At 55.1% G+C, this 25,591-nt stretch overlaps 2 protein-coding genes across 11 annotated transcripts in view, besides 8 other annotated features; one reads left to right on the forward strand and one right to left on the reverse strand.

Moving 5' to 3' along the window:
• The window catches only part of STAT5B (signal transducer and activator of transcription 5B), an 89,194-nt gene extending 88,149 nt beyond the window's left edge, over positions 1–1,045 (reverse strand). For both annotated transcript variants that reach the window (XM_047436593.1, XM_024450897.2), the window contains exon 1: positions 462–1,045. The gene's annotated coding sequence lies outside the window, so the exon portion shown is untranslated. The remainder of the gene's footprint in view (positions 1–461) is intronic.
• On the forward strand, positions 114–24,618 carry STAT5A (signal transducer and activator of transcription 5A). 9 transcript variants are annotated; one of them, XM_047436589.1, is made up of 21 exons: positions 222–310; positions 731–826; positions 1,126–1,273; positions 2,077–2,214; positions 2,541–2,697; positions 4,647–4,736; positions 8,294–8,468; positions 12,426–12,556; positions 12,805–12,956; positions 13,390–13,545; positions 13,950–14,129; positions 17,017–17,104; positions 17,205–17,327; positions 18,285–18,377; positions 18,916–19,122; positions 20,077–20,171; positions 20,268–20,398; positions 20,853–21,008; positions 21,722–21,773; positions 22,052–22,159; positions 23,182–24,618. In XM_047436589.1, exons 4-21 carry the CDS (start codon positions 2,087–2,089, stop codon positions 23,342–23,344), a joined length of 2,385 nt encoding a protein of 794 aa, XP_047292545.1. In that variant the 5' UTR covers positions 222–310; positions 731–826; positions 1,126–1,273; positions 2,077–2,086; the 3' UTR covers positions 23,345–24,618. The 9 variants fall into 9 exon arrangements, with proteins under 9 accessions (NP_001398032.1, XP_047292545.1, NP_003143.2 ...); NM_003152.4 differs by having other exon boundaries at positions 731–1,273; NM_001411103.1 differs by lacking the exons at positions 21,722–21,773; positions 22,052–22,159 and having other exon boundaries at positions 114–310.
• Positions 230–730: an enhancer, noted in NCBI's record as "H3K4me1 hESC enhancer chr17:40439573-40440073 (GRCh37/hg19 assembly coordinates)". NCBI's record gives its function as "activates a minimal SCP1, AML or CMV promoter by ChIP-STARR-seq in primed H9 embryonic stem cells {active_cell/tissue: H9 hESC(primed)}" and the evidence as "EXISTENCE:reporter gene assay evidence [ECO:0000049][PMID:30033119]".
• Positions 747–826: a silencer, noted in NCBI's record as "silent region_8520". NCBI's record gives its function as "represses an Ori minimal core promoter by ATAC-STARR-seq in GM12878 lymphoblastoid cells {active_cell/tissue: GM12878}" and the evidence as "EXISTENCE:reporter gene assay evidence [ECO:0000049][PMID:35858748]".
• Positions 847–1,526: a silencer, noted in NCBI's record as "silent region_8521". NCBI's record gives its function as "represses an Ori minimal core promoter by ATAC-STARR-seq in GM12878 lymphoblastoid cells {active_cell/tissue: GM12878}" and the evidence as "EXISTENCE:reporter gene assay evidence [ECO:0000049][PMID:35858748]".
• Positions 2,177–2,236: an enhancer, noted in NCBI's record as "active region_12193". NCBI's record gives its function as "activates an Ori minimal core promoter by ATAC-STARR-seq in GM12878 lymphoblastoid cells {active_cell/tissue: GM12878}" and the evidence as "EXISTENCE:reporter gene assay evidence [ECO:0000049][PMID:35858748]".
• Positions 23,566–23,615: an enhancer, noted in NCBI's record as "active region_12194". NCBI's record gives its function as "activates an Ori minimal core promoter by ATAC-STARR-seq in GM12878 lymphoblastoid cells {active_cell/tissue: GM12878}" and the evidence as "EXISTENCE:reporter gene assay evidence [ECO:0000049][PMID:35858748]".
• Positions 24,868–25,007: a silencer, noted in NCBI's record as "silent region_8522". NCBI's record gives its function as "represses an Ori minimal core promoter by ATAC-STARR-seq in GM12878 lymphoblastoid cells {active_cell/tissue: GM12878}" and the evidence as "EXISTENCE:reporter gene assay evidence [ECO:0000049][PMID:35858748]".
• Positions 25,078–25,177: a silencer, noted in NCBI's record as "silent region_8523". NCBI's record gives its function as "represses an Ori minimal core promoter by ATAC-STARR-seq in GM12878 lymphoblastoid cells {active_cell/tissue: GM12878}" and the evidence as "EXISTENCE:reporter gene assay evidence [ECO:0000049][PMID:35858748]".
• Positions 25,298–25,457: a silencer, noted in NCBI's record as "silent region_8524". NCBI's record gives its function as "represses an Ori minimal core promoter by ATAC-STARR-seq in GM12878 lymphoblastoid cells {active_cell/tissue: GM12878}" and the evidence as "EXISTENCE:reporter gene assay evidence [ECO:0000049][PMID:35858748]".

Below are 25,591 nucleotides of genomic sequence, written 5' to 3' on the forward strand. Positions count from 1 at the left end.
ATGCACCCCCCCCAACAGAACATGCAGTCTTGGCCCAGCTGTGCTGTGAGTGGGCAGCTGGGCTGGCCCCTCCTCTGGTGCTGCCAACCCGCTGCCAGGCAGAGGGGAGGCCCAGAGGAGAGGGAAGCTGGGCAAAGGGGATGGAAGGCGTCCAGCCCGACCTTACCAAACCCCTTGGGCCTCGTGGGAAGGGGCCTCTTGGAGAGGGGGACTGAGGCTCTAGACAGGATATTCACTGCTGTGGCAAGGCCTGTAGAGAGTTTCGAAGTTAGGAGGACTCAAGACGGTCCCTCCCTGGACTTTTCTGAAGGTAGAACCAGCCTCATAAGTAACTAGGCTGGGTGAACGGGGGCGCTGGCTAGTTTATGGATCACAGTCGGCTGGTGAGGCCACGTGCCTACTGTGTGGCCCTGGGTGGCCCCGGGCAAGCCCCTTTCCCTCTCAGGACTTCCATTTCTTACCTGCAAAATTGTGGAGAGGGGGAGGGCTGAAACACATGACTGCCAAGATTCTTTCCAGTTCCTCCGTCAGGGTTGAGTTTAGATGGCCGGAGTAAAAGAAGGAGGGAGGTGCTGCGGTGGTGGGGGTGATCTTGGCTTCACTAGAATCCCCAGTTCTTCCCCTCTCTACAGTTTTGTCTCTGAGGTCACAAAACCTGTGGCCCCCAAGACACACATGCGCACACACGCGCGTGCACACACACACCCCACACATTTATTTTTTAATCTAGGGGCTCAAAAGATGACACGCGCCAGAGCTGGAAGGCGTCGCCAATTGGTCCACTTTTCCCTCCTCCCTTTTTGCGGATGAGAAAACTGAGGCCCAGGTTTGGGATTTCCAGAGCCCGGGATTTCCCGGCAACGCCCGACAACCACATTCCCCCGGCTATTCTGACCCGCCCCGGTTCCGGGACGCTCCCTGGGAGCCGCCGCCGAGGGCCTGCTGGGACTCCCGGGGGACCCCGCCGTCGGGGCAGCCCCCACGCCCGGCGCCGCCCGCCGGGAACGGCCGCCGCTGTTGCGCACTTGCAGGGGAGCCGGCGACTGAGGGCGAGGCAGGGAGGGAGCAAGCGGGGCTGGGAGGGCTGCTGGCGCGGGCTCGCGCGCTGTGTATGGTCTATCGCAGGCAGCTGACCTTTGAGGAGGAAATCGCTGCTCTCCGCTCCTTCCTGTAGTAACAGCCGCCGCTGCCGCCGCCGCCAGGAACCCCGGCCGGGAGCGAGAGCCGCGGGGCGCAGAGCCGGCCCGGCTGCCGGACGGTGCGGCCCCACCAGGTGGGTGACCCGGTGGCGCGTCCTCGGCGGCGCGCCGAGAGGGGACACTCTACTGCCGCCCCGGCACCTCCGGCACCCGGAGCTCGACGGCCGGGCGCAGCGCGGGGATCAGTCCCCGGCACTGCGAGGGAGTTGGCCCAGCGCAGACGAGGGACGGGGGGACGTGGGGACAGGGGTCGGGGATGAAAGGCAGAGGCCAGGGAGGGCGCCGTCCTGGCACGCCTCGGAGAGGGAGCACCTGTCGGGCTGGACCCGGGGAGGCACTAGTGCACAGATGGGGGAGCAGCCGAAGAGGGGAGCGCCCAAGTCCTCAGCCCTGTCTCCTGAACAGCCCCAGCCACGTGCCCGAAAAGCCCTAGCCGTCGAGTGGGAGCCGTCGTGGCGCTGGCCTAACTTCGGGTTGGAATATCTCCCCTTCCCAGAAACCGGGCCCGAGGTGGGCTGGGGGATCCTTGCAGCCCTCTCCAGGGGGCCTGTGGGCCTCCCGCCGTCAAGTTTCTCTTTCAGTTTCTGGCCGTCCCCCTCACTAGGGAAGCTCCGGTGGGGCGAGGGGAGAGGAAGACGGGGAGGGCACCTGCCTCTGCAGAGCACCTTCCCCTCCCCTTCAGCGGGTTCCTTGTTGGAGGGGATGGGCGGCCCTCCACTCCTCACCATCTCTGTTCCCGCACAGGAAAGCTATCTGTGGGAGGGGAGGGGCCTGGCCTGGCCGCGGTCCAGGGATAGGTAGGCATGGCAAGGCCAGGGGCAGGCCCGGTTCCTTGGCCTCTGCAGAGGAGAGCGCTTCAGCGCTCGGCTCGCCCTAGGTGAACGGCCATGGCGGGCTGGATCCAGGCCCAGCAGCTGCAGGGAGACGCGCTGCGCCAGATGCAGGTGCTGTACGGCCAGCACTTCCCCATCGAGGTCCGGCACTACTTGGCCCAGTGGATTGAGAGCCAGCCATGGTAGGCACGTCCCGCCCTGCCCCTCCTCAGAGGGTCCCTACCATCCAGGCCCTTTGGCCTCTAGTTTTACTCATGGTGGTTTGGTGTGACTCTGGTCCTGCCTGTCCTTCTTTGTGCGGAAGGGGTGGTGCCCCTGGGAAAGGGGAAGCCTGGGAGGACAGAGAATGTTTTTAGACTCGGATGTCTGTGGAGCTGCTGGGAACAAGTCTTGTGGGCCCTGGAGTGCCCTCGGTCATGAGCCTGGGGTTTCCACTTTATTCCAGCTCCCTGACCTCCTTGCCCAAGGAGGTGCCACAGTAGGTTTTTCTCTTCTGCCCTGCCCCAAGGGATGCCATTGACTTGGACAATCCCCAGGACAGAGCCCAAGCCACCCAGCTCCTGGAGGGCCTGGTGCAGGAGCTGCAGAAGAAGGCGGAGCACCAGGTGGGGGAAGATGGGTTTTTACTGAAGATCAAGCTGGGGCACTACGCCACGCAGCTCCAGGTGGGTGTAGGCTCTGGGCCACCTACGGGGAGGAAGCATCATCTTGTTCCAGCATCAGAACCCCTGGGTTTTTTCCTGGCCTGGCCACTGACTCACCATGTGACCACGAACTTATTGGGAACTTTTCTTCGATTTCCCCCACCCCCTCTTTCTAAATTCGACCTGTCGGATTTCTTTAGCATATTGCAAAGCAAGGGTGGGAGGTGTTTGTTGCCAACAGAGAGAGATGGGTGAACTGGCCTTATGGAAGCAGCAGAAGGGATGGAGGGAGACTGAGTCAGGATTCCTATGTTGGAGAAGGGAAGACCAGCAGACTCTAGAAATGAGGCCACCAGACCTCCCTCTTGGGGTCTTTTAAAGGTGAGAGAGGAGCCATCCCAGAGACAAGAGCTGGACACAAGGGCTTTGAATTGAGGGTTTAGAAATAAGATGTAGCTTCTTTACTTGAGGGGAGTGGGTATGGAGGAAGAGAGGGAGTTTTTGTGGAAGCAGGAAAGGGGTGTGGGTAGTGATGACAGTCAAGCACTTATTGGAACTCACGTATGTTTCCTAGAGAGCCCTTCAATACAGACAGCAGGGTGCCAGGGAAATACAAGTCCATCCCAGAAGAGGGGGAAAACAGGAGAAGCCTGAGGGGAAGCAATATAGGAGGCCAGGGGCAGGATGGTGGGAAGTACCTTGACCTTGGCATCAGATGCCCTGAGTCTGGAGTCATCTGCTCTCTCACTTGGTTGCGTCTGGACGAGTACATAATGTCTGAGCATCAGTTTTCTCATCTGTGAAATGGGGATCATAGTTTCTGCTTATGTCCTAGAGTTTCCATGCTGTTAGTGCCTTGATCCCCCACCACTTTTTGGCACCAGGGACCGGTTTCATGGAAGACAATTTTTCCATGGACCGGGATTGGGCAGGGAGGTGGTTTCTGGATGATTCAAGAGCATCACGTTTATTGTGCACTTTATTTCTATTGTTATTACATTGTGCTATGCAATGAAATAATTATAGAACTCACCACAATGTAGGATCAGTGGGAGCCCTGAGCTTGTTTTCCTGCAACTAGACAGTCCCATCTGGGGGTGATGGGAGACAGTGACAGATCACCAGGCATTAGATTCTCTTAAGAAGTGCATAACCTAGATCCCTCGCATGTGCAGTTCACAATAGGGTTAGCATTCCTATGGGAATCCAGTGCCATTGCTGATCTGACAGGAAGCAGAGTTCAGGCTGTAATGCGAGCAATAGGCAGCAGCTGTAAATACAGATGAAGCGTCACTCACTTGCTCACCGCCGCTCACCTCCTGCTGTGTGGTCCAGTTCCTAACAGACCACCGACCTGTACCAGTCCATGGCCCAGGGGTTTGGGACCCCTGTGTTACAGTCAAAAGATACGGTAGATTGGAAGTGCTTCATAAGACTGGGTATGATGGCTCACACCTGTAATCACAGCACTTTGGGAGGCCGAGGCGGGTGGATCACCTGAGGTCGGGAGTTCGAGACCAGCCTGACCAACGTGGAGAAACCCCGCCTCTACTAAAAATACAAAATTAGCCGAGCGTGATGGCACATGCCTGTAATCCCAACTACTCAGGAGGCTGAGGAAGGAGAATCGCTTGAACCCGGGAGGTGGAGGTTGCAGTGAGCTGAGATCACACCATTGCACCTTTAGCCTAGGCAACAAGAGCAAAACTCCATCTCAAAAAGAAAAAAAAAAAAAAGAGAAAGTGCCTCATAAACTGTGGGTTTTTAATTCGCTCCAAACCAGATATGAAGATCTTGGAGGGGAAGATGAGGATGAGGAACAGAGATATAGAGGTGTCTGGGGATAGTTCCTGAGGCTCCCTGGGAAAAGCTGAGGCAGAGGCTGAAGGAGAGGAAGGGCTGGGCATAGCATGGGGCTGGCATGGCTGGAGCAGAGGATGGCGCTGGAGGCTACTGTTGGATTCTTTCAGAAAACATATGACCGCTGCCCCCTGGAGCTGGTCCGCTGCATCCGGCACATTCTGTACAATGAACAGAGGCTGGTCCGAGAAGCCAACAATGTGAGTGTCCCTTGGGGATGGGGAGGAGTGTTGAGAAGTCCCTCCATATGCCTTTCTCTCCAGAAACAACTGTGTTTATATAAAACAGCAGCACGAGGAGAGCACCAAGAAGATGAGGGACGTGGGCAAGTGTAAGAGGTGGCAGCATTGCACGCCGGGGTGGAGTGACCCCCTGGATCCAGTCCCTGGCTCTACCACTTACTAGCTGTGTGACTTGAGCAAGTTGCTTAATCTCTCTGAGCCTCTGTTCCTGTTTTTTTTTCTTTTTTCTTTTTTCTTTTTTTTGAGACGGATTCTTGCTCTGTCACCCAGGCTGCAGTGCAGTGGCGTGATCTCGGCTCACTGCAAGCTCTGCCTTCCAGGTTCACACCATTCTCCTGCCTCAGCCTCCCGAGTAGCTGGGGCTACAGGCGCCCACCACCATGCCCGGTTAATTTTTTGTATTTTTAGCAGAGATGGGGTTTCACTGTGTTAGCCAGGATGGTCTCAACCTGACCTCGTGATCCGCCCACCTCGGCCTCCCAAAGTACTGGGGTTACAGGCGTGAGCCACCACGCTTGGCGCCTACTGTTTTTTCCCCCCCGAGATGCAGTCTTGCTCTGTTGCCCAGGCTGGAGTGCAGTGATGTGATCTCTGCTCACTGCAACCTCTGCCTCCCAGGTTCAAGCAATTCTCTTGCCTCAGCCTCCCGAGTAGCTGGGATTACAGGTGCCCACCACCATGCCCGGCTAATTTTTTTTGTATTTTTAGTAGAGACGTGGTTTCACTATGTTGGCCAGGCTGGTCTTGAACTCCTGACCTCATGATCCACCCGCCTCGGCCTCCCAAAGTGTTGGGATTACAGGCGTGAGCCACCGTGCCCGGCCTGTTCCTACTCTTGTAAAATGGAGATAGCAATCATACCTATCTGTGTCAGAAGAACTAACACAGGCAGGCTCAGAGAAGTGAGGCCCAGGGAGGGGTAACAGGGACACATCTCCCCAGTTCTGAAATAATAAAGGCACTGGGCATCTACATGGACAATGGCACAGTGCTGTACTATCTGCAATAGAGCAAAATGAATTTCACAACATGACGTGACAGAAATCTTAGAACAGTGACCGGAGCACAGGTCATATTTATTATTTCTTTCTTTATTTGTTTGTTTGTTTATTTATTTTTGAGACTGAGTCTCACTCTATCATCTAGGCTGGAGTGCAGTGGCGTGATCTCGGCTCACTGCAACCTCCACCCCTTGGGTTCAAGAGATTCTCATGCCTCAGCCTCCCAAGTAGCTAGGATTACAGGGGCCCACCACCATGCCCGGCTAATTTTTGTATTTTTAGTAGAGACAGGGTTTCACCCTGTTGGCCAGGCTGGTCTCGAATTCCTGACTTCAAGTGATCCACCTGCCTCGGCCTCCCGAAGTGCTGGGATTACAGGCATGAGCCACCACGCCCGGCCTATTACGTATTTATTGTTGTGGACATGGATTTCAGGATTTACTCAGTAGACATTTATTGAGGTCTTACTGTGTGTCCGATGCTGGGCTATCATCAGAGAAACACATAAAGGCCTGGTTCTTGCCTGGAAGGAATTCTGGCAGTGATGGATTCTCTAGAGATGAGCTGAGTGCTAAGGGGGCCTAGGTGGAAAAAGCACCCAACTCAGATTGGGGCAGGCTGGCAGGGGAGCGTCCTGTGGACAGGCATGTCTGAGCTACAGTGGAGAAAGGCAGGAGAGGAGGGATGAATTTTCTAATGAAAAGACAGCAGCTGCGAGAGCAGGAGGGCATGAATCTTCTTATCACATTGGAAGACTTGTAAGTGGTCAGTGTAACTGGGGAGAAGGAACCAAGTGGGGAGTTGCCATGGATAAAAATAGATAGAGAGGGCCAGGCGTGGTGGCTCACATCTGTAATCCCAGCACTTTGGGAGGCCAAGGTGGGCGGATCACCTGACGTCAGAAGTTCGAGACCAGCCTGGCCAACATGGTGAAACCCAGTCTCTACTAAAAAATACAAAAATTAGCTAGGCGTGGTGGCGGGCGCCTGTAATCCTAGCTACTCGGGCGGCTGAGGCAGGAGAATTGCTTGAACCCAGGAGGGGGATGTTGCAGTGAGCTGAGATTGCACCACTTCACTCCAGCCTGGGCAACAGAGCGAGACTCTGTATAAAAAAAAAAAAAATAGGGGTTAGAAACCAGGTCACAAAGGGTCTTCCAGCACAGCCCCTGTGTCCCTGACTTGTTGCCATCACAGAGCTATCTGCAAACCTAAAAATGACTTCAGCCTCATTGACAAATCCATGTCCATGGTGCTGGTGCTGTCATGGTCTGGGAGCTCATTCCTTCCTCCAACCATACAACTGTTCCTGAACACCCCTGGCATTCTAGGGCTTGGGGATTCTGTAGTTCACAGGAAAGGCAAGGTCCTAGCCCTTGGGAACCTCACATCCTTGTGCAGGGAGACAGACAGAAACATGTAAGCAAATACAAGAACAACACACTTTTAGATAGGACTACTGTGAATTGGCTCGTCAGAGATGACCCCTCTGCAATGGTACCAGTTAAAGTGCTTTGCCTCAGGAGGATCTGATGCCAGAATGTTCCAGACTGTTGGAACAATAAGTGCAAGGGCCCCAGGGCAGGAACATGCCTGTGTGTTCAAGGAACAGAAACAGAAAGCACACATTCCCAGCGAGCTGGGGTTGGAGGTAGGCAGGGCTATGGCCAGCAGACACCATGGGAAGGGGTTTGGATTTTATTCTGAGAACAGTTCATTGGAAAGCCTCTGAGGACTTGTTCCTCTTCATCCATGTGCTCCCTCCCTTTGTGACCTGGTTTCTACCCCTCTCTCTCTATTTTTTTTTTTTTTGAAACGGAGTCTCGCTGTGTTGCCAAGGCTAGAGTGCAGTGGCGCAATCTCGGCTCACTGCAACATCCCCCTCCTGGGTTCAAGCGATTCTCCTGAATGTGCTGAAGGAATGGCTGGATCCAAGGGGAGCTTGTTGATGCCTCCCCTCTAACTTCATTTCGGGGTCTCCAGGATGCCTGTGAGAGTTTCGGCCTCTTCCCTCTTCCTTCAGTCACAAGGGGGTCTTAAGTGAGATGGTGTGTGTTCACACAGCCCTGTTCCTCCCTATGTCCCTAGGATCTACTGCAGTCCATGGTATTGAGTCAGCAAATAAATGTAGAGCGAGGGGTCATCATCATTAGTGGGAAAACCCAGGTGACACCTGGGACGTGTTGAGTTCTAGTCCCTGGGAGGAAATTAGATGGACCCTGTTTGGAATACTCTAGTGGAGGGCAGCTCTGACATAGATATTTGGACTTTGAAGGTGTTACTATCTGCCGTTATCTGCCAGGTCACCTGTTTCTCCTTTCTCTTTCCCTTTTCTATCCCAATTCTGGCAAATGACTCCTTCTGATGCAAATGATCCTTCCTTCTTGCCCTAGTTTCCCTTCTTACCCTAGTTTGGGGTTTGGGGTTTGGGGTCTGTAGTATTGGTGTTTCCTAATGCCTGTGGTCTTCTCCCATCCTCTCTTCCCCGAGTTATTTCCATTCCATCTGTCTCCAGTGCAGCTCTCCGGCTGGGATCCTGGTTGACGCCATGTCCCAGAAGCACCTTCAGATCAACCAGACATTTGAGGAGCTGCGACTGGTCACGCAGGACACAGAGAATGAGCTGAAGAAACTGCAGCAGACTCAGGAGTACTTCATCATCCAGTACCAGGAGAGCCTGAGGATCCAAGGTGAGGCGCGGTGGAGGCAGTGTGCATCCGGAGGGTGGGAGTGAGGAACATTCTATGGACTCCTAGAGGGTAGAGCTGGGTCAGTGTCCATCTCCTCAGCACTTTGCCCAAAGCCTGGTAGAAGCAATGGCTCCCGGTGATTGAGCCCCTGCCGTGGGTCACACTTGGCACACATTATTTAATTCAACCCTCTCAACAAGCCTATGAAGTGAACAGTTGTGTTATCCCCCCTTTTGCAGATGGTAAAAGTGAGGTTCAAAGAGAACAAGTAACTTGGCCTAGGTTGCCTGTAAATTACAGAACTGGATCTCAACTAGAGATATATCATAAAACTCCTGTACTTTATTAACCAGTATTCTCTCCTTAATGGTATGTATTCTGTAAATATCGACACAAATAGGTAAATATGAACAGTGCTCCCTAACCAGAGGGAGGACTTGGATTGGAAGTCTTCTGGTTGAACCAGGCTGGGAGAGGTGGAACTTCCAAAGTGGGCCTTCTTGAGCCTCACGGATAGGATGTGGGCCTGGGGGAAGGGGTGACAGTAGAAAATTCTCCTGTATCCTAGGTCTGTAGTTCGCCAATGGCTCCCATGATAAAGATGTGGGGAAATTAAAAAATCAAATTAGCTTGAAAGGAACTATCCCCAGGTACAATTTGAGGAGTCATGGGACATGGCCCATCTATTAATATGTCCCATTCCAGACTGACCCCAGAAATGTAACACCTCATCTTAGTGAGAACAAGGGGTGTCAAACTGCTTTTTCCTTTACTCTTTTTAATCTGATTTCTTAAGGTAGACCTTAGGTCATTGATTTTAGACCTTTCTTCTTTTCTTTTCTTTCTTTTTCTTTTCTTTTTTTTGAGACAATCTTGCTCTGTCGCCCAGGCTGGAGCACAGTGGCATGATTTCGGCTCACTGCAGCCTCTGCTTCCCAGCTTCAAGAAATTCTTGTGCCTCAGTCTCCCGCATAGCTGGGACTACAGGTGCAGGCCACCACGCCCAGCTGATTTTTTTAGAATTCTATTGTAGCTATTTAAGCTCTCTTCCTAACCCTGCACTGTCAGTGCTTTGTGTACACTGAGACCAGCACAATGCCTGAATATTGCAGCTATTATGTAAATACTTGCAGGATAATTCTAAATGTTTGTTTGTTTGTTTGTTTATTTATTATTGCCCAGGCTGGAGTGCAGTGGCACGATCTCATCTCACTGCGACCTCTGCCTCTCAGGTTCAAACTATTCTCATGCCTCAGCCTCCTCAGTAGCTGGGACTACAGACATGCACCACCATGCCTGGCTAATTTTTTTTTTTTGTAGTTTTAGTAGATACAGGGTTGTGCCGTGTTGTCCAGGCTGGTTGCAACCTCTAGCCTCGAGTGATCTGCCTGCCTCGGCCTCCCAAAGTGCTAGGATTATAGGCGTGAGCCACGGTGCCCAGCCAATACTGACAGGATAATTCTAAGAGAATTTCCCCTCATCTGAATCTATCCCAGACTGGCCCTAGAAGAAGGGCAGCTCCTTCTGAGAATGGAAACGGAAGATTTTGGGCGGTTATTCCTACCCAAGTCCTTAGACTGTCGACAGTATTTCTGATCCCGTGCCTGGCTTTTCTGTTTCCTGTGCATGGTGGCGGATTAGGTTTGGATTCAGGTTGGGTTTGGATCTATCATGCAGTGTCTTCTCAGTCCCATTTGTCAAGTTCACTCAGCAGAAACACAGACTATTGATCTGCTTTTGCCAGGGAAGGCTCAGCTGCCTCCAGTGGAGTAGGGAAATTGCTTCCCGTCTCCCTGGCCTCCTTCCTAAAAGCTTCTGCAAATTTCCAGGAGAGCCCTAAGTGGGTCCCTTGCATAGGAAGGCTGGGCCCAGGTGTTGGGATCACCACCACCCTCCCTGTGGCTGGGCAGGATACCCGAGGTAGCCGTGCAGACACCTCGGATCTGTCCGTGCCTGGATGATCCTCTTCCTGCTCGATACCTGCAGTGAGATTGGAGCCATATTTCTGAGTTCTAGCTCTGGGCTGTTCCTGGCTACATAGAGTTGCTTTTGTCTGTCCCAGCTTGTGCATCCCATGGGTCAGGGCTGGGGTCAGAGTGACGTGGCCCTCAGGGGCCAGCCAGGAGCTCGACCAAGACATGCTGGTGCGCGCATCTTCTGACTCAGCTCAAGCAAGGACGCTGGGCTGTTGAGAAGGTGATGGGAAGGGATTAATAGTCCCAGTGTGGTGGAGACGGGCTGTCGCTGGGAGGGTGGGGTGGGCCTGCGGTGGTGGTTGTAACTGTGGACATGTTTACTTTCTTAGCCTGGGTTATTGATACACAGGCGCCCTTGTGTTCCACATCCCCTGTGTCTTACGTATTTCATAATGGATACTTTTTTTTTTTTGAGATGGAGTCTTGCTCTGTTGCCTTGGCTGGAGTGCAGTGGTGCTCTCGGCTCACTGCAACCTTTAACCCCGGGTTCAAGCAATTCTCCTGCCTCAGCCTCCTAAGTAGCTGGGATTACAGGCATGCGCCACCATGCCCAGCTAATTTTTGTATTTTTAGTAGAGACAGGGTCTTGCCATGTTGGCCAGGCTGGTCTCGAACTCTTGACCTCAAGTGATCTGCCTGTCTCAGCCTCCCAAAGTGCTGGGATTACAGGCGTAAGCCACCGAGCCTGGCACATGATGGATACTTTTTTTTTTTTTTTTTTAGACAGAGTCTAGCTCTGTCGCCCAGGCTGGAGTGCAGTGGCCCAATCTCGGCTCACTGCAAGCTCCACCTTCTGGGTTCACGCCATTCTCCTGCCTCAGCCTCCCTAGTAGCTGGAACTACAGGCACCCGCCACCATGCCCGGCTAATTTTTTGTGTTTTTAGTAGAGATGGGGTTTCACTGTGTTAGCCAGGATGGTCTCTAGCCAGGATGGTCTCGATCACCTGACCTCGTGATCTGCCCGCCTCAGTCTCCCAAAGTGCTGGGATTACAGGCGTGAGCCACTGCGCCCAGCCCCATGATGGATACTTTTTAAAAGCTAGTGAGGCCTGACTTATTCCCTGTCCCGCCATCAATGAGACTCCTCACAGATGGTGTGGAGGGAAGCCGCCTCCCTTCGGCCTCCCTTTCCTGAGAGAATCTTGGTGGCTCTGCATCCCCAGTGGCCCTGGACACGCTCTCCCTCTGCGGTCTGTCTATCTGTCTGTCTCCCCTGGTTGGTCGGCTGGGCTCACAGTGAGCCCACCTGGACAAACATGCTGGGCCCCTTCCAGCCCCTCAAGAATCTCATCCTCCCCTGAGGAGGGACTGCTGTGCTCAGGGACGAGACAGAGCCGCCGGGGCTGGGGTTCCCTGAAGAGGCCTTGCTGCGGGAGGGATGGGGCCGAGCAGCTGCTTGTCTCTGTCACCTCTTCTCTCTGTCCTGTTCCCCGTTAACCAAGAAGCACGAACCTCACACAGAGCTCACCCATGTCAGGCAGCTTTCTGGCATCTTCCATGTCCTCATGTATTTAATCTTCAAGCACCCCACTGAGGCAGGTGCTGAGAATCTCCCGTTTTACACGTGGGGAAGCTGAGGCACAGGAAAGGAAAGCGATTTGCCCAGGTTCACCTGCAGTCAAGGGCATGGGCACACTTACACCCCAGACAGCCTGGACCCATGCTGGGACGCGAGAAGAGGGCTGGCAGCCCTGTGAGGCAGGCGGGCAGGAGGCAGGCAGGCCTCCTCCCCAGCTGCCCCAGCACCCGTGTGCCCCCAGAGGGGACGGCTCAGAGTCAGGAGGCTGGTGAGCAGGGCCCAGAGGCGCCTCCTGAGGCGCCATTCATCTTGGCCCCCCTGGCTGTCAGGAACCCCGACTTGCTCTTGATGCAGTGTCTGAGCCTGGGAGGGTCTCGCTCCAGAACAGGTGAGTGGGCTTCTCTAGGCCTCCTGTTGGACACTAGGAGGTGATGGTCATGGTTTCCTCTTCTCTCCTCTAGCTCAGTTTGCCCAGCTGGCCCAGCTGAGCCCCCAGGAGCGTCTGAGCCGGGAGACGGCCCTCCAGCAGAAGCAGGTGTCTCTGGAGGCCTGGTTGCAGCGTGAGGCACAGACACTGCAGCAGTACCGCGTGGTGAGTGGGGTCCTGGGCCTCTCCTGGGCGTGGGTGCCATGAAGTCAGTCTCTGGGGACCCGAGGGAGGGCTGGGACCAGCATGAGAGCAGAACCTGGGAGGGCAGGAGGCCTTTTTTCCTGGGGGCCTTGCGAGGCAGAGCAGCTTGGGGAGAGGGAACGGCCTGGGCCCTGCCCTGCCATTTCCCAGCGAGGCCCTGCGGTGTTCTCTGGGAGCCCAGAAGGGGCTGCTCTCCTCCCTTCCCTCAGGAGCTGGCCGAGAAGCACCAGAAGACCCTGCAGCTGCTGCGGAAGCAGCAGACCATCATCCTGGATGACGAGCTGATCCAGTGGAAGCGGCGGCAGCAGCTGGCCGGGAACGGCGGGCCCCCCGAGGGCAGCCTGGACGTGCTACAGTCCTGGTAATGGTGTGGGGCGGCCAGCGGGCAGGGCAGGAGGGGCTGGTGGGGACCCCGGCTGCTTCTGCGTCCTGTGCTGGCTCCTGCAGCAGGCCCCCTCCATCCTGGGACAGCTCTTGTTTCTCCAGGGAGCCTGGTTCCTCAATCAGACTTTGGTCCCCATCCTGTGCACCTCCCCCAGGAAGGGGGCTGCTGTCCTGGGGGTGGGATGGGGCTCGGGTGTGTGGGGTGATGCTTGGGCTGTTTGGGCCTAGTCAGGGTCGCCCCTCCTGTGTACGTCTCTAATTCTGGGAGGCAGGGAGCTCTGCTCTTCCCATGGGTGGGAAGTGTGGCGAAAGCACAGAGCCTTCCTGGGGGAACGGGAGCTGTGTCTTGGGGCCTGGCGTCTGTGAGGAGAAGCCATTGTCCTCCTGTTGGCCTTGGGGCTCTCGTGCAGGTGTGAGAAGTTGGCCGAGATCATCTGGCAGAACCGGCAGCAGATCCGCAGGGCTGAGCACCTCTGCCAGCAGCTGCCCATCCCCGGCCCAGTGGAGGAGATGCTGGCCGAGGTCAACGCCACCATCACGGACATTATCTCAGCCCTGGTGACCAGGTGACTGCTGCCTGTTTGCCATGCCCAGGAGCTTGGGGCAGCTCCTGCCTGCGTGGGGGGAGCTGCAGGTGCCTTCCAGACCAGCAGATCCACTTCCTGCCTCTCATCCCTCCCAACTCCATCTCCAGTTGCTGTGGCTGCTAGGTGCCGCCCTTGCCCAGTTTCTCCTGTGGACACTGCAAGAGATACCCTGGGCCGCAGCCCATGCCAGCTGCTGTGTTATCTCACTCCCCTCTCCATCCTCTCCCTGGACTCTCACAGCTTCCCCGGGAACAGAGGTTGTGCCCGAGCTCATCACCTCCTGAGCCCCATGGGAGGCAGCCCCACCCCCACCACAGAGGGACTGAGAGCCCTTTCCCCTGCGCCAACCCCTCATCGTGTGTCTGTCCCTGTGTCCCATGCAGCACATTCATCATTGAGAAGCAGCCTCCTCAGGTCCTGAAGACCCAGACCAAGTTTGCAGCCACCGTACGCCTGCTGGTGGGCGGGAAGCTGAACGTGCACATGAATCCCCCCCAGGTGAAGGCCACCATCATCAGTGAGCAGCAGGCCAAGTCTCTGCTTAAAAATGAGAACACCCGCAAGTAATTGTGCCTCTCCCTTCCCCTGCCCAAGCTTAGGTGTGGGGGACCTGCACCCCCCGCTTTGTCCTTGCATCCAGCTATGTCTTGTCCCCTAGTTCACCGTGTTGCCCAGGCTGGTCTCGAACTCCTGGACTCATGCAGTCTTCCCACCTCAGCCTCCCAAAGTGCTGAGTTGATAGGCGTGAGCCACCACACCCAGCCGAGTATCCGTTCTTTACCCTGGGGATGGTGTGGCTGCCGGAGAGCTGAGGCTCACTGCCACTGCCCAGCATTGTGAGAGACTATCACACCACTTTCTCCTGAAAGTGTATTGCTTCACACCATTGTAAATTCAAACAATCATGTCAAACCATCATTAAATCTGGGACAGATGGTACACTGCCTTCCTCCTACTCAGATGCCTTCCCTGTCCCTGCAACAAGCTTGGTGCTAGGCTAGATGCCGTGGCTTACCCCTGTAATCCCAGCACTTTGGGAGGCCACGGTCGGAGGATCACTTGAGCCCAAAAGTTTGAGTTGGACAATATAGGGAGACCCTCATCGCTACAAAAAGTTTTAAAATTAGCTGGGCATGGTGGTGCACGCACTTGTAGTCCCAGCTACTCGGGAAGCTGAGGTGGTAGGATCATTTGAGCCTAGGAATTTGATACTACAGTGAGGTATGATTGTGCCATGGCACTCTACCCTGGGCAACAGGGTGAGACCCTGTCTCCAAAAAAATCACACAAAGTATGGTGTTGTAGCTGTGTTCTAGAACCTGTGCTACGCACTGAGGACAAAACTGTGATCCCAACAGAACTGGGCTGTCTTCTCGCCCAGCCCCTTGAGCAGCAGAGCAGGCAGCAGATGCTGGGAAATGCCTGATGGTGTAGCCATGTGGCAGGGGGATGTGTAGGGCACCGAGAAAGGGGGTCTTCTTGCAGGATTAAAGAAATGACAGTCTTAGGCTCCTGGTGGAATTGGAGGTAGCTAGTGATAGGGAGGGAAGTAGCAGAGAGGGAGGACTTTCAGGCAGAGCCCATGTGCCACATCCTGAGGGAAGAGTACAGAGACATTATGTGTAGCAGAGAGTGGAGAAGTAGTGTCCAGTGTCAGGGCAGGCCACCCACAGCGTATGCAGGGGATGAATAAATGAGTGAATGAGTGATGTGGAAGACATGGCCCCATCCCTTGTCATCCAATTAAAAATGTTTACTGAGGCTGGGCGAGGTGGCTCACGCCTGTAATCCCAGCACTTTGGGAGGTAGAGGCAGGCAGATCACTTGAGGCCAGGAGTTCGAGACCAGCCTGGCCACCATGGTGAAACCCTGTCTCTACTAAAAATACAAAAATTAGCCAGGCTTGGTAACGTACACCTGTAGCTCCAGCTACTTGGACCTCTAGTCCTAACTACCAACTACTCTGAGGCAAGAAAATCACTTGAACCCGGAGGTGGACGTGGCAGTGAGCCAAGATTGTGCCACTGCACTCCAGCCTATGACAGAGCAAGACTCTGTTTAAAAAAAAAAAAAAGGCCAGGCACAGTGGCTCACGCCTGTAATTCCAGCACTTTGGGAGGCCCAAGCGGGCGGATCATGAGGTCAGGAGTTCGAGACCAGCCTGGCCAACATGGTGAAACCCCGTCTCTACTAAAAATACAAAAATTAGCTGGGCATGGTGGTGGAAGCCTGTAATCCCAGCTACTCAGGAGGCTGAGGCAGGAGAATTCCTCAAACCCAGGAGGTGGAGGTTGCAGTGAGCCGAGACTGTGCCATTGCACTCCAGCCTGGGCAACAAAAGCAAGACTCTGTTTCAAAAAAAAAAGTTTACTGATTTCCTACCATGTGATCTGGGGTGAAGATGAAGACAAATGACCTTCTCACTGCCTTTGAGCTTGCATTGCAGCTGGGGAGACTGATGATAATACACTTTAAAAGATCAGGCAGGGCCAACCAGTGATAGACACTGGAAAAGAAGTTAAGACAGAGCAATCTAGGCTGGGCACAGTGGCTCACGCCTGTAATCCCAGCACTTTGAGAGGCTGAGGTGGAAGGATCGTTTGAGATCAGGAGTTCGAAACCAGCCTGAGTAACATGGCAAAATCCAATCTCTACTAAAAATACAAAAATTAGCCAGGTATGGTTGTGTGCGCCTGTAGTCCCAGCTACTTGGGAGGCTAAGGCAGTGGAATCACTTGAACCTGGGAGGTGGAGGTTGTGGTGAGCTGAGATTGCACCATCGCACTCCAGCCTGGGCAAAAAGAGCAAAGCTCTGTCTCAAAAAAAAAAAGAAAAAAGAGCAATCTGCTAGCGTTGGAGATGTGTTTAAGGCGGGGGTGAGGAAAGGTCAGCTTGGTAAGCTTCTCCAGATAAGTGGTCCAGGAAGGCCTTTCTGGGGAGCTATCTGGGCTGAGACCTGAAGGAGGAGAAGGCTAAGAGTGTTTGGGGTGACAGGAAGAGCAAGGGCCAATGTCCAAGCCTGGCATGTTCAGCAGACAGCCAGGGCCAACGGGGCTTGCATGTCCTGAGTGAGGGGAGAGGAATTCAGTGAGGCCAGGGGGGTGGGTAGGTGTTGACCATAGGGATCCTCAGAGACTGTGGTTGTGATTTTTATCTTAAGTGCATTAGAAGCTATTGGAAGTCCCCAAAGCCCTCACATCAATCTTGGTATCGAGGAATTTCTAATGATAGATCCAGACCTCACCACTGGAGACCTTGCCTTGGGTGCTGGGCACCAGGTTGATGGAGAAGTCAGTAACCCAGAAAGACGCCAAGAAACACTCTTAGGGGATACGGGGCAGGGGCTGCTGGCAGGGCTGACCTGAGCGAAGACCCCAGCCCGAGGTGTGGACAGGACCATGCTCCTGGCCTGGGGCCCATGTGGAGCTGGGACCCCCCTCTCCTTTGCAGCGAGTGCAGTGGTGAGATCCTGAACAACTGCTGCGTGATGGAGTACCACCAAGCCACGGGCACCCTCAGTGCCCACTTCAGGAACATGGTGAGGACGGGGCCCACCCTCGGAGGGCAGGTCTGCCCAGAGCTGAGTCCTTGTAAGCAGCCGCCATCTCCCTGTTCCCCTGTCACCTCCCACCCTGCAGTCACTGAAGAGGATCAAGCGTGCTGACCGGCGGGGTGCAGAGTCCGTGACAGAGGAGAAGTTCACAGTCCTGTTTGAGTCTCAGTTCAGTGTTGGCAGCAATGAGCTTGTGTTCCAGGTGAAGGTGAGACCCCCAGCCCTCCTGCCCCCACTGCTCCAGGTCACCCAAGAGGTGGAGGGGCCTGCCTCAGGACTCCTGGCAGCAATGCCATCGGACAGCCTGCTTTGACTCTGTGGGTCCCTGTTTGATAGGTTATAATCTGGGACTAACCCAGACAATTTAGGCAATGGGCTAAGAAGAAGTCGGTTGTAGTTTTTGTTTGTTTGCTTGTGCCTACATTTTGCTGGGAGGGGCTTGTGTTTGGAACTGTGGGTGAGGAAAGTGGGTTGGGACCAGGTGTGGTGGCTCTCACCTGTAATTCCAGCATTTTGGGAGGCAGAAGAGGGAGGACTGCTTGAGTCCAGGAGTTCAAGACTAGCCTGGGCAGCATAGTGAGAACCCGTATCTACAAAAAAAAGAAAAAAGTTGGGCATGGTGGCCTGCACCTGTAGTCCCAGCTATTCTGGAGGCTGAGGCAGGAGGATCACTTGAGCCCAGGAGGTCAAGGCTGCAGTGAGCTGTGATTGCACCACTGCCCTCCAGTCTGGGCGACCGAGCGAGACCCTGTCTCGAAGAAAATAAAGCAGATTGCGGCCATGGGTGGTGGGTCTTGCCTGTAATCCCAGCACTTTGGGAGGCCAAGGAGGGTGGATCACCTGAGGTCAGGGGTTCGAGATCAACCTGACCAACATGGAGAAACCCCGTCTCTACTAAAAATACAAAATTAGCCAGGTGTGGTGACACATGCCTGTAATCCCAGCTACTTGGGAAGCTGAGGCAGGAGAATCGCTTGAACCCGGGAGGCAGAGGTTGTGGTGAGCCGAGATTGCACCATTGCACTCCAGCCTGGGCAACAAGAGTGAAACTCCATATCAAAAAAAAAAATACATAAAAAAAAATAAAGCAGATTGGGCATGTTGCCTAAGCAGAGGGCACGTGGTGGTCACGCCCCATCAACTTGGGTTCCTTTGACTCCTGTAGACTCTGTCCCTACCTGTGGTTGTCATCGTCCACGGCAGCCAGGACCACAATGCCACGGCTACTGTGCTGTGGGACAATGCCTTTGCTGAGCCGGTGAGTCCCCGTGGGAGCCCTACCCCAGCACCCCCAGGCCCTAGGACTCACCTGGGGTCAGCCCCACCCCTTGGGCCCCTGCTGAGTGGTCCTTCCTCACCCCAGGGCCAGCCCAGAGGTGAGGTGAGGCCAGAAGGGCTGGGGTGCTGGGCGCCTGCCTTCCACCATGGCCTTGGCACTCTGGGTTCCAGGTTCCTGGACTGGGGTCTGTGAGGACTGTGAGCTTGGTCTTTGGATCCTGGTCTGGGATCCTCCTTTGGCAGATGGCTTGGGTCCTTGCTCTCTGTTTTCTGTTTCCTGGTCTGCATCTCTGTCCCTGCATGCCCCCACCCCCTGCATCGGTTTTCTTCCCTGCAGGCTGGGAAAAAAAGTGCAAGCTAGTATATAAAAGCCGCCGCATTTCCTGCCCTTGCATTTGTGTCACCTTTCTGGATCTGTCTCAGTCTCCTCTGTCTCTAGGTGTCTGTGTATCTTGTGTGTGTGTGAATATTTCCAACTCCCTCAATCTACCTTTTCCCCTCTCTTGTCTCCCTCTCAGGGCAGGGTGCCATTTGCCGTGCCTGACAAAGTGCTGTGGCCGCAGCTGTGTGAGGCGCTCAACATGAAATTCAAGGCCGAAGTGCAGAGCAACCGGGGCCTGACCAAGGAGAACCTCGTGTTCCTGGCGCAGAAACTGTTCAACAACAGCAGCAGCCACCTGGAGGACTACAGTGGCCTGTCCGTGTCCTGGTCCCAGTTCAACAGGGTGAGGGGCCCAGCTGCCAGCCGCCCACCAGGGCCCACCGGGGTCTGTTGCTCCTCCACCTCACAGACAGGTTACTGCCTGGGGCTAGCACCCCACTCTCCACCCCCAACCACTCTCTCCTACAACCAGGAGAGATGGGGGCCCCTAGCCTCAAGAAATGCAGGCAGGGGCTATAGGAGTTGTGCTTAGTTGTGAAGCCAAGAGCGAGATGACGGAGGGCCCAGGGCTGGGAGTCAGGATCCTTGGGTTCTGGGCCTAGATGTGTTTGCTAATTTTCTTTTTTTTTTTTAGAGACAGAATCTCATTCTGTCACCCAGGCTGGAGTGCAGTGGCGTGATTTCAGCTTACTGTAACCTCTGCCTCCCGGGTTCAAGTGATTCTCGTGCCTCAGCCTCCTGAGTAGCTGGAATTATAGGTGCCTGCCACCATGCTGGGCTAATTTTTGTATTTTTAGTAGAGATGGGGTTTCACCATGTTGGTCAGGCTGGTCTCGAACTCCTGACCTCAGGTGATCCGCCCACCTCGGCCTCCCAAAGTGCTGGGATTACAGGCGTGAGCCACCACGCCTGTGGCTCTGGCTCTCCTTCTGCCTCTCTCCTTGCTAATTTTTGAAGACCCATCCATTCTCTGTGCCTCAGTTTCCCCACCTGTAAAATGAGGGGATGACTTTGGAGGAATGACTTTGGAGGCCCCATCCAGCCTAGATTATTCTTTACACCTCTTACTCCCACCCTTGGGCTGGTCTTGGACCCCTGTGTCTTAGAAGTGAGTTTCCTCTCTGTTTTCCTAGGGTACAAGTTGGGGGCTGTGTCACTTTATGGTCTGCTGGAGTGTGGTGGCAAGCAGGGGTGAAGAACTGGGAGAAGACTGGGTGGGGGCAGGAGGGCCCTGACTTTCCTGGGCCACCTGTGACCTGGGGCACCAGCCCTGACTCGGGGGTTCCTGGGCCCTCAGGAGAACTTGCCGGGCTGGAACTACACCTTCTGGCAGTGGTTTGACGGGGTGATGGAGGTGTTGAAGAAGCACCACAAGCCCCACTGGAATGATGGGTAAGGAACGGGGGCTGCAGGGTCAGGGGCCAGCTGTGGGCGCAGAGAGACTGTGGCTGTGGCCCAGTGGTGACGCTCAATGCTCCGTGCACCCAGGGCCATCCTAGGTTTTGTGAATAAGCAACAGGCCCACGACCTGCTCATCAACAAGCCCGACGGGACCTTCTTGTTGCGCTTTAGTGACTCAGAAATCGGGGGCATCACCATCGCCTGGAAGTTTGACTCCCGTGAGTGCCCGTTTTGCCCACACTCCAGCCCCAAGGCCCGGTCTCTTGTTCCCTTGCCCCGCCACCCCACCCTCCATCGGGCCTGTGTCCTTAGAAGGTACCCAGCGGGAAGCTTAGTATGAGAGGGCTGTGGCTTGGAAATGTATTCTCTTTCTATTGTTTTCCATTTTGGAGAACCTGAAGTCCCCAGCCCCATAGACTCCAGGACGGCTGGGCGAGTCCTCCTGCAGTTTCACGCTCTCCCCTCTCTGCCACGACCCAGCCTTGTTGGTATCTGCTCATCTGGTTTGCTGAGTAGAACATCCCGCATCGGCTTTCTTCCCTACAGGCTGGGGCTGCAGCGCAAGCTACTATATAAAAGCCCAGATTTCTCTTGCAAGCCTGCCCTAAAGCCCCACAACCTTGGTCCTCCTGCTGCTGGTGGATTATGGGAATGAGGCTGTTCTTTTCACAGCGGAACGCAACCTGTGGAACCTGAAACCATTCACCACGCGGGATTTCTCCATCAGGTCCCTGGCTGACCGGCTGGGGGACCTGAGCTATCTCATCTATGTGTTTCCTGACCGCCCCAAGGATGAGGTCTTCTCCAAGTACTACACTCCTGTGCTGGGTGGGTACTGCCCCAGGACCCTGCCGGCTGACTCCCCCGGGCTCTTCCCCAGCCCATAGACAAAGCCTTGGGCTGCGCCGTGGGGACTTCCCCAGGAGGAGCCTAGGGGCCATGTCCCCTGTGGGTTTTGGCCCATGGGGTGGTGGAGAGGATTTCAGGGCTCACAAATGAGGAGAGGGAACGAGAAACCCGTCCCAGCTCTCTTCTCTGCAAAGTGAAAGCTGCATGGATTCTCACTTCTGCACCCTCGGAGGAAGGGGTGGCAGCACTGTAGGGAGTGGCCGGGATCATTCGAGCCCACAGATAGTGCTCCGCTCCCCACCTCACCAGCTGCTCTCCACACCCTGCTCACAAACCTTCCCCCGAGTGGAGTGCAGGCAGCAAAAGGGAGAAGTCTCTCTTCTTCCAGCTGCCCCAAATCCATTGGTTGGGTTTGCTTGTTGATTCTCATTCTTTGACAGGGGTGGGAGCAGGGAGAGGGAAATCAGATGGCCAGAAAAAGAACCAGAAGGAATGGGATTCAAGCCAGGGGTCTCAGTGACCCTCAGGCAGGATTCATCAGCTGGTGTTTATTGGGGGTCCTTGGGAAATCTCATCCCAGCTGAGAACACAAGGTGATGTGAGCAGGAGGGAGACTACATGGGGCGTGGGCTTCCACCCCACTTGGGAGTTCCCAGAGACTTTGGTTCTCACCACTGTTCTTCCCTTGACAGCTAAAGCTGTTGATGGATATGTGAAACCACAGATCAAGCAAGTGGTCCCTGAGTAAGTGTCCAGGTGGCTGTGGCTCTCCTTCTGCCTCTTTCCTCCTCCCCCAGACCCTGCCTCCCATCCTGATCCTGGGCCCAGCTTTCCGCTCCCCCAGGGAACCTGTCTCAGCCCTGGGGAGGGAGTCCCCTCTCCTGTAGCTGGAGCCCCAGGGCCGAGTGGGGCACTTTGTCCGTCTACACCCCGAGAAAGACAAACATGCCCCTCGGTCCCCTCCCCAAGTCAGCTGCCCCGGCCTCCCTGGTGGCTGAAGCTCTGTTCTCTTCCTTCTGCAGGTTTGTGAATGCATCTGCAGATGCTGGGGGCAGCAGCGCCACGTACATGGACCAGGCCCCCTCCCCAGCTGTGTGCCCCCAGGCTCCCTATAACATGTACCCACAGAAGTAGGTGGTGTTCTCATGGGGTCCGCAGGGGAAGAACTGGGGACTTGGCCCCAGGCTGGACTCCTGGAGGGCTGGCGGGCAAAGGATCCAGAGCTCTGGTTAGGCCCAAGTCCAGGAGGAGTGAGATCAGCCAGGAAAACAGAGCATTTTGAAGCTAGACATAGCAGGGTCAAGTCCTCACTCTAGTACTAACTGTGTGATCTTGGGAAAATGATTGAGCCTCTCTGATGCTCAAGTTTCCTTATGTGTAAAACGGAGGCAAGAATGCTTGCCTCATGAGAATGGGATGAGCATTAAACTGAGACAGTGTGGGTGAAGCATTTCCACAGGGAGGGGCTTGGAAGGGCTTGATACAGGGTAGCTATGAATGGGGTGGTTGTTCTTGAGTCTGGTGGGAACAAGGTAGATAATTAATTCCCTTCCTCACTGTGGATAGCCAGGGCTGGATGTCTGGGAGGTACCACCTTCCAGTGGGACCACTGAAGATCCCAGGTTCCAATCCGGACTCCACCACCTCCCAGCCAGGTGGCCCAGAGCAAGCTTCCTGATATGGCCTTGGTTTTCTCGTCTATAAAACGGGGTCAATACCCACTCTCCAGTTGGCTGTAAAAATTGGAGTCATGTGCTCAATAGGCTCAGCTGTTCTAGGTGCTCAGTGAAAAGATTCAGCTGTTCTAAGTGCTCAGTGAACGGGGCGGTGCCTACCATTGCAGCTGAGCATCATTGCAGGTGGGCAGAGCCCACTGTGTCAGCCACCTGGTTTTAAGATGAGGACACGGAGAGGGGAAATGAATTCCCTAAGATTATTCAGTGAGTTAGCAAGAGATGCGAATAGAGTGGGGGTCTGCAGAAGCCAGTGGGCTGACTGCTACCCAGCTTGGGGTGGGGTGGGGGCATCCAGCCAGAACTGGTCCTGTTCTCATGAGACGGGTTTGAGTGGAGAGCAGGCTGGAGGCTGTCCCCAGGGAGCTTGAGGCTGTGAGACATGCCAGCTCCCTCTGACATCCCCCTGTCTTTACCAGCCCTGACCATGTACTCGATCAGGATGGAGAATTCGACCTGGATGAGACCATGGATGTGGCCAGGCACGTGGAGGAACTCTTACGCCGACCAATGGACAGTCTTGACTCCCGCCTCTCGCCCCCTGCCGGTCTTTTCACCTCTGCCAGAGGCTCCCTCTCATGAATGTTTGAATCCCACGCTTCTCTTTGGAAACAATATGCAATGTGAAGCGGTCGTGTTGTGAGTTTAGTAAGGCTGTGTACACTGACACCTTTGCAGGCATGCATGTGCTTGTGTGTGTGTGTGTGTGTGTGTCCTTGTGCATGAGCTACGCCTGCCTCCCCTGTGCAGTCCTGGGATGTGGCTGCAGCAGCGGTGGCCTCTTTTCAGATCATGGCATCCAAGAGTGCGCCGAGTCTGTCTCTGTCATGGTAGAGACCGAGCCTCTGTCACTGCAGGCACTCAATGCAGCCAGACCTATTCCTCCTGGGCCCCTCATCTGCTCAGCAGCTATTTGAATGAGATGATTCAGAAGGGGAGGGGAGACAGGTAACGTCTGTAAGCTGAAGTTTCACTCCGGAGTGAGAAGCTTTGCCCTCCTAAGAGAGAGAGACAGAGAGACAGAGAGAGAGAAAGAGAGAGTGTGTGGGTCTATGTAAATGCATCTGTCCTCATGTGTTGATGTAACCGATTCATCTCTCAGAAGGGAGGCTGGGGTTCATTTTCGAGTAGTATTTTATACTTTAGTGAACGTGGACTCCAGACTCTCTGTGAACCCTATGAGAGCGCGTCTGGGCCCGGCCATGTCCTTAGCACAGGGGGGCCGCCGGTTTGAGTGAGGGTTTCTGAGCTGCTCTGAATTAGTCCTTGCTTGGCTGCTTGGCCTTGGGCTTCATTCAAGTCTATGATGCTGTTGCCCACGTTTCCCGGGATATATATTCTCTCCCCTCCGTTGGGCCCCAGCCTTCTTTGCTTGCCTCTCTGTTTGTAACCTTGTCGACAAAGAGGTAGAAAAGATTGGGTCTAGGATATGGTGGGTGGACAGGGGCCCCGGGACTTGGAGGGTTGGTCCTCTTGCCTCCTGGAAAAAACAAAAACAAAAAACTGCAGTGAAAGACAAGCTGCAAATCAGCCATGTGCTGCGTGCCTGTGGAATCTGGAGTGAGGGGTAAAAGCTGATCTGGTTTGACTCCGCTGGAGGTGGGGCCTGGAGCAGGCCTTGCGCTGTTGCGTAACTGGCTGTGTTCTGGTGAGGCCTTGCTCCCAACCCCACACGCTCCTCCCTCTGAGGCTGTAGGACTCGCAGTCAGGGGCAGCTGACCATGGAAGATTGAGAGCCCAAGGTTTAAACTTCTCTGAAGGGAGGTGGGGATGAGAAGAGGGGTTTTTTTGTACTTTGTACAAAGACCACACATTTGTGTAAACAGTGTTTTGGAATAAAATATTTTTTTCATAAATTTGCTGCTATGGCTCCTGGTTGGGGCGTTGGTGGCCTCCCTGGGTGATGGGAACCCCTGGAGCTGGTTGTTCTGTTCCTTCCCGCGTGCATGCCTGATGCTGTCATTTTTAGTCTTAAATTTTAACTCTGCCCGCTTTGCTGTGGTTTTCAGGGTGCTGGCCACCCCTGGAATACTGTCAATGCTTCTCAGAAGGGTAAGGAGCCAGTTTAGGGGGCACAGATTCCTTAAAAAGCAGGGGACTCGAGGTTTGGGGAAATGATGGAGATGGGCGCGGGTGGGCAGAACTCTGACCCAGGCTTCTCCTTAGCAGCTGCTGCTCCCAGCAGCCTCGAAGCTGGCGGCTGAGGGCCCGGCGCCAAGATGCTTCTCAACCCTCGGGGCCAGGGGCAGTCCCAGAGCCGCAACAACCGTCCCATCCTCCTCCTTCCCAGAGACCAGCAGGTGGCACCACGCGGCTGCGCTGTTTTCAGCTGGCTGCCGGCGACTGTGCGAGGCGGAGGTGCAGCAAGCGGGACCGGCTCGCCCCGGCTGGACCCCCGCACTGCCGGCTGCAGCCAGTCCCTGCTGTCGCTGGGGCCCTTGGGCTCAGGGACGCGCGCTCCCTGGGCGGGGCTGGGAGCCAGGTTTGCGGGCAGGTTCCTTCTGAGCTCAGAGCTCAAGCGAGGGAGAGGGGCGGCGCGTGGGCCCCAAGAGGGAGGTGCAGGGGGCCCAGAGCAGGGGGAAGGCGGGGGTGGGAGAAGAGAGGAGGGGAGGGGACGGGCAGGTGCCACCGCCCCAGGGGGCTAATCTGATCCATCTCTGCGAGGGAAGGTGCTCGCTCGTAGCTCCCAGGCGCGGTCTCCAGGGCGCTGGGGCACGTGTAGGGGTGGGGAGAAGCCCTGTGGGCGCCCGCGTAGCTGAGGTTGGGGCGCCTTTCCCTGCATTATCACCGCTGGCTGCCGGGGGCCCTGCAGCCACCACCGGGTGTCTG

This window comes from Homo sapiens, chromosome 17 (assembly GCF_000001405.40).
Source record: "Homo sapiens chromosome 17, GRCh38.p14 Primary Assembly".
In the NCBI taxonomy this organism is placed as follows: domain Eukaryota; kingdom Metazoa; phylum Chordata; class Mammalia; order Primates; family Hominidae; genus Homo; species Homo sapiens.

Bases quoted from the DNA above. Each gene is read 5' to 3' on its own strand.
- STAT5A (NM_003152.4), top strand. From the start codon at position 2,087: ATGGCGGGCTGGATCCAGGCCCAGCAGCTGCAGGGAGACGCGCTGCGC. The intron at 13,546-13,949 runs GTGACTGCTGCC...TGTCCCATGCAG, and splicing joins ATCTCAGCCCTGGTGACCAG to CACATTCATCATTGAGAAGC. The intron at 21,774-22,051 runs GTAAGTGTCCAG...TTCCTTCTGCAG, and splicing joins ATCAAGCAAGTGGTCCCTGA to GTTTGTGAATGCATCTGCAG.